Source organism: Homo sapiens, chromosome 2 (assembly GCF_000001405.40).
Source record: "Homo sapiens chromosome 2, GRCh38.p14 Primary Assembly".
Lineage (NCBI taxonomy): Eukaryota > Metazoa > Chordata > Mammalia > Primates > Hominidae > Homo > Homo sapiens.
In genome coordinates this window covers 104510623-104517581 of record NC_000002.12, presented here as the reverse complement: position 1 = coordinate 104517581, position 6959 = coordinate 104510623, and the positions used below count along the sequence as shown (strand labels likewise).

The window sequence follows — 6959 nt, the reverse complement described above, 5'->3', positions numbered from 1 at the left end:
TTTAACTTCCTTTAGGGAAATATGCTTAGAAGTTTTAAATCCTATAATCTGTTAAGATTTAAGTATGTGAAGTGTTTTTATCACCACTAATTTAAATTACCTATATGTTCAAAATTGTATTCAATTGCAAATAATCCCTAAACAATGGTTAGAAAAGCAATACAGTATTTCTAGAAGCTTGTCTAGACATTATATAAAAATGCTTGAATTGTAAACTTCACAGGTAACATACACCATATATCATGATTATAAATTTATGTGCGTTATTAATTCTTCTGATTTGGTTGTACACATTTCATGTGTAGAAAAACCAAAATAGGGATAAAGACACTCAGAAAAAGCTTGGTTATGAAACAGATTGGAACTTGGGTTTTAGTCATCAAAGATGTGATAAACAACACTGGGCATTAATGCAGAAAACAGATTGAGCTTTTTAATGGGACATCAAATAAGACTTTATTAGCATCTATTAGGTTCAACCCAAAGCTCAGGAAATAGCATTAATGAGCATCATATATCAGTCTGTCTGTTATTAGATAACAGTATCCCTTAAAACTAGCAAGCCATATAGTACTTTATACTTTTTTACCTTTATCTTTAGAATTAGCTGACATTCTATTGTGTTACACTGGCCTTACTATTAGTAATAGTGAACCAATTTATAAACCCATTAGTGACACTTTTTCCAGAAGATAAAAACAGTCAAAATTATCTGGCAGCAATTAATCTTAATGGCTGTATGCAGTAAACAGCAATGGGCTAATTCCAGCTCTGTCAGCCCCATCAAACAATCCCGCATTAGGCAGCTTTTCAGTGATCCATTAAGCATATTCAGAACAACAACAAATTCAATGCTGAAGGCATATGCACTAAACATTACAACAGTGATCTTCTGAAGCCATCATTATCTCTTAAATAGTACTTCCCCCATGTATTATCATTATGCTGTACATTAGAAATACTTTGATTAAACTCCCTTAATTCATAACAGACAGCTGCAGACCATTTATGCAGTTAATCTCAACACAACAGCTATTGAGGAAATATAACAAATGAAGGCTGTAAACTGGAAGTCATTACTATGAAAGATACTGGTTTTCTAGCCCTCTTAGAGCAGAGTGCATCATAAGGGTGGGCTTTGGGCCTATAATAATGGGGATGAAACCGTTAATGACCTTCCACTTTCCTGTCACATCTGTCCCTGGGGTTGTTGTGCTCTAGGCTGGGCATGTGACCAGTTTAGGCTGAGCCATGTGTCCCACACATTGACCAATGTAAGGGCTTCAGGAGAACCCAAGCTATGGTTAACTTCTATTTTCCGGCTTTGGTATTAAGAAGTCAAGGTTTTGACGGAATATGAATAATCTCATTGATTTCACTGAATCATTACAGTAAAGCACTGAAAAACTATTCTGATTGTGCACTAATGATACCATCATTAGCAGTAGTTTTACATTTCTTTTCCAAAAAGTAGTGTCTTTTAAAGTTTAATTCATAATACTTGAGTTTACAAACGTAAAAAAAAATTCCTACTGAATTTCCTCTGTAAACTTTCTTTCCCATGTGATATCTTCACTTATCAATTCAGAAAAGTTATGCATGGCAAAAAAAAAAAAAAAAAAAACCTCCTAAATTTAAGGAGCCACACCCTAATTTCATGTTTTGCGGAATAAAATATGCACTGACTTAATTTGATGAACAAGAAAATTGTGTCGATTTCTCCACACTACACCTTCACAGAATCTTTCCTTTTTGCAGGTAGAGAAACCATAAACATGGGCATGAATGAGCTCTATGTGCCTGGCATTTTTTTTTTCTTTATATAGGGTTTATTTCAAAGTCCGAAACCACAGACACCGTGTCTACTTTTTGATGAAACGGTCAGGTAATTAGAACATAAATTTAGAGTCCCCTTGCATACTCTGACAGTACTTTCAGCTTTTGGGGTTAGCATAAATGAATTAAATATTTATTCAAAATATAAAGTACTGTCATTATAAAGCAATAAGGGTGTAGCTTTCAGAGGGAAAGACCAATCCCCGTGGCAGTTTACGCTGAATGTCTAAGGAGATTTCCACAATCGGGGCTAGATTGACCCATCCCTCCAAGGTGCCCATGAACACAAGAATATTAACATTTGCTGTTCAGTCCCCTAGAGATCCCTCCCTGCTGTTCCCCACACTCCCCGCTCCCACTTCTTGAACATAGTGTTTTGAAAAATGGCAGCTCTGGGGAGCTTTTCTTAATTTTTTCCCCTTAAATTTGTTTGAAAGACATGGGTATTGTGACTGCTGGCTGTATTCCTTGTTTCTCAGACCTTGCATTTATAACAAAGCTCTGGAGAATCCCTTCTGGACACCTGGGCATACTGATACTGATTTCTGGCCCATAGTGCAGTTTAAAACAACCATGATTTTCACCTATTTTGAAAGGCCTTCCCATTCTGAGCCTAAGCTTCCTGCCATGTGAGTTATAAAGCACTACTACTAGTTGTTGCGGCACAAATAAGTCTGAGAAATAATGTCACTCCTTAGAAATTCACAACTCATGTAATGTAGTAAAATCTGTGAGAAGTTCTAGAGAAAGGAAGCCTGTTTAACTGTGATTAACTCAGCATGCCCAAATCTGCTTGGCTGCATATTTTTTTTTTCTTTTTAATACAACAACCGTTAACATCTTGTAGGGCACTAATCTTTTACAGAATATATTTTGAGACATGTTTTTCTAAATTCCTGCTTGTGATATTTATGCCTCAAAATTGATCTGTGGCAGGAAAGAACAAATTTGCAAATTAATTAATTGTGCTTTCTTCTGAGTTTTGTTTGTTAGCTTTCGTTTAGCTTACAGATACTCCACTGTTGAAAGTGGCCATCAGCAAATGAAATTAGGTTTGAAATTCACAAGCTGGTTTGACTTCTATTTTTGCCATTTATTCCAAGAATCTAAATTCAGTAAACAATGTTCCTACAGACATTTTTCTGATTAAGACATAAGGTTTTCTTCAACTAATGATTAGATTTTTGTAACTGATGTTAAACTCGTGGATAATTGATGAATGTGCTCCTTTTTCCTGCTGTGGAACATTATCTTAACTACAACACAATGATATTTAGAGTTCTATCACATTTAGAGTTCTATCTAGATATATTTACATATATCTATATCTGTTCTCTACTCAGGAAACTCCCAATTATGAGTAAGTAACTTCTATATGTTCATTCGAAGTTCGTTGCTTGGGATCTCAGATTACATTTTTCCAAAGGAATTTATTACAAGTTGTCATTATGTTCTAGATTTAACCTATAAAAGTCTGTTTAATGCACAGCAACTGCATTGCTGAAATGCTAGGTACACTAAGAAAATAAGCCAAACGTCAGCATGGTTGCCATGCTGATGAGTTAAACCAAGTAGAAAAATAATAAGGTGATAAAATTGACTAAGAGATCATTTAAAATGTTTGATCTAAAATGCTGATGCTTGAAGAAACATAGGTTTAATTTTAAAAGATGCAGCATAGACTAAGACTTGTGTGTACATGTGCACATGTGTGTCTATGTGTAGCTTTGGCAATATTTCCAGGGACCCTTCCAAACTCATGTCCTCCTTACCATAGCACTCCATGATACGGACGCATCACAGCAGGTCTCATTCCAGGAGAGAGAGGTGAGACTCCTCTGTGGCATATATGTGAAACGAAGATAGAGAATAGGAAAAAGATTGTTCGCTACAAAATCTAGGCAGGAATTGGCAGCATGAAGGAAAGGAGAAAGTCATTCTAAGTATGTATGTGTGTGTGTGAGAGAGAGAGAGAGTGAGCAAGAGCAGGGAGGAGGGGAAGAGAGAGAAAGGGGCAGGAAAAGAGCAAACGCCTTGGATGGACTTAGGTGAAGTGTGAGTAGTGAAACACAGAAAAACTTGGGGGGATCTGCACCTGTGAAGTGGTTTTCTGAAGGTGGACATTCTGAGAAAGAAGTCAGGAGTGGGGGAGAAGGCTTGCTACTATATGCCTGGTGTCTAGTTTGTCTTGGTTTTGCCTCAAACACATATATAACCACCAAATCCCACATTGTTGTTGATTCCTGTTCTAGAGCACAGTTCTGGTGACTAAGTTCTGACTTCTTGTCCTTAGTTTGTTGTCTGATTCTCCACTGAGCTGGTGCTTGGGCATCCCCAGTCTTGTCAGCCATTTTCCCCAGAAAGATGAGCCCTGTGTCCGCACTACCCCATACCTCCACAGCTGATGCTGACCCTTCCCTTTCCTACCCAGCTCTCGCCTCCTCCTGTTCCTCACTCTCACCTCTGTGGAGCTCCTGACGTGCTTCCTGCCATTCTGGGTCCTCCAGGGTCTTCTGACCACTTGGGCTTCCCAACCCATCCTTTACACGGCACCTAGAGTCCTCTTAACAAATGCCCATAAGGCCTTGTCAGCACTCTGAATCCCATGGCTGACAAAGTCTGTGTGTTTTTGCAGGGCCCACCCTCTGCCAACCTCCACTATTTTGTTTCCCACATCCTGAGCTCCAACTCTCTGGACCTCCTGTCTGTTCGTAAATGCACCATGTTGACTCTCACCTCCGTGTCTTTGCCCAACCCTGTTCCTTTCTCCCAACTTTGTTCCTATTAACTGACTTTTACTCATTAATACCAAATTCATTTACTATGTCTTTTGAAAATCTTTGTTTCTAGCTAAGCAAGATGCTCCTACTCACTGAATTATAATTCACTGAACTGTAATTACTTTCCATTCTCACTGAACTGCATGAGAACAAGAATGATGTCTTTCATTGTGTAGCACAGGAAAATAGCATACTTCTTGGAACATAGTAGGTACTTAAAAAATGTTTATTGAATGAATAAACCAATATACAGAAATGTCACGTAGAGTGACGGCTCCTTTTTTCTAGCATAATGTAAAACTGAAGAATTTTAAAATGGTTAACAGTTAGTTATTAGGTAACATAAATCAACTATATTCTATAGAGAATAGGATATTCTTAGGATCCCTGTGAAAAGATTAGCAAGTGCTGATCTGCGTGTGGTAGGATTACAGGTGATTTTGTTTTACTTTTATGTGCACGAAGGCATTGCCTAAATTTTTAGAAAGAACATGGGTTGTTTTTATTATAATATAAACAAGAGTATGAATCCTCAAAAAATGAAGTATCTCCTTAACATGCTTCATAGTTTTACAAGGAAACAGAATACACAGGACACGTTGCTGCTGTTTTTGTGGCCTCTGCTCTCTTCTGCATTCCTTGCTTCTCTGTTTCTCTCCTCTCCCCCCGCTTTTTTTTTTCTTTTCCAAAACGTCACCGGTGGCAGCCTTGGCCTGAACTTGGTGAGATGTGGTTCGCATTTGCACAAAGGTGGAATGCTTCCTATTGGATATTTCAAGTATTTAGGCATCGGTGTCCTTATTACCACATCTCTGCTAATCTGGACTCCTGTCCATCATTGACCAGCTCCTCCTCATGGTCAATGTGTCCCAAAGTCGTGGTGGCAAGAATGCTGGAGAGGATTTCTAGGGAAGCAGTTTATCCTAAAAGGGGAATGTCAGAGTCAGTCATTTATTTGTTTCAAGACACATGGTACCAGTTTCTCCTAAGGAGGTCGAGTGGCTGGTTCACCAAACTAAAATGAAGGAACCCAGCCAGACTCCCTACACGCCTCCTTCCAACAGCTAAGTGTGTCCTGAGCCGTCCTTTGAAGCATGAAAGCAACACCTCTGTCCACGATGGGGCTGAGAAGAGTCCACCCCATAAAATGTTGTTGATGGGCTAGTCCTTCTCAGTTCCACTCAATGGGCCTTTCATTCATATGAAACTTAGCAAATCCTCTTAAATAGCAATGCAATATTGAATGTTTTTTTCATAAGTCTACTTATACATATTGAGGAAAATTGGTACACTAGTCTAATAGTATTAAAGATGATCTAGAAAAAGACATACTGACACTTGGAACACACTAGCCTTCTGCATTTATAACAGCATCAGGGGACTGTGGTCTTCTGTCTTGATGATGAGGTTAAACGGGCTAAATCAATTAAATTCAACAAACATCTAGTGGGTACCTAATAATTTAAGGTACCATAGTGGGGGTTTGGAGAATACAACTGGAATGAAACATGATCCCTGCCGTCAAGGTGCCTAGAAAGGAACTGTGATATAAATGCTCTTCTCCTTGACTATAGCTCAGTACAAAAACATGTTTATTTCCATTCATTAGATTATTTTATTTTAGCTGATATTTATTCTCATCCCCTTCTTAAAAATTTCAGTAACTTGGCCAGGCCAAGTAATCCCAGCACTTTGGCTCACGCCTGTAATCTCAGCACTTTGGGAGTCCGAGGTGGGTGGATCACGAGGTCAGGAAATCGAGACCATTCTGGCTAACACGGTGAAACCCTGTCTCTACTAAAAATACAAAAAATTAGTCAGGCATAGTGGTGGACACCTGTAGTCCCAGATATTCGGGAGGCTGAGGCAGGAGAATGGCATGAACCTGGGAGGCAGAGCTTGCAGTGAGCCGAGATCATGCCACTGCACTCTAGCCTGCACTCAGAGCGAAACTCTGTCTCACAAAGAAAAAAAAAAAAAAATTCAGTACTTACAAACTACATTATCTATACATTTTAAGCAAGCTTCTATTTGTTCATTGATGCCATTTATTAATGTCTTCATACAACAAATATTTATTTAATGCTACTATGTGTCAGGAACTGTTCTAGAAGCTTAGAGACGTAGTGACGAACACGATATGTGTTCAATACACACACACACATTTATTTATTTATTTATTTATTTTTTATTATTATTTTACTTTAAGTTATAGAGTACATGTGCACAACGTGCAGGCTTGTTACATATGTATACATGTTGGTGTGCTGCACCCGTTAACTTGCCATTTGCGTTAGGTATATCTCCTAATGCTATCCCTCCCCGCTTCCCTGACCCCCGGGC

The 6959-nt window shown here is 38.5% G+C and overlaps 1 long non-coding RNA gene across 1 annotated transcript in view, besides 1 other annotated feature; it reads right to left on the bottom strand.

Moving 5' to 3' along the window:
• Positions 210–1225: an enhancer, noted in NCBI's record as "VISTA enhancer hs702". NCBI's record gives its function as "enhancer in: forebrain[8/13]" and the evidence as "EXISTENCE:transgenic organism evidence [ECO:0001131][PMID:17130149]".
• The window catches only part of LINC01102 (long intergenic non-protein coding RNA 1102), a 78411-nt gene continuing 76276 nt past the window's right edge, over positions 4825–6959 (bottom strand). Inside the window, exon 4 of the long non-coding RNA NR_015399.1 lies at positions 4825–5539. This is a non-coding gene — a long non-coding RNA (long intergenic non-protein coding RNA 1102). The remainder of the gene's footprint in view (positions 5540–6959) is intronic.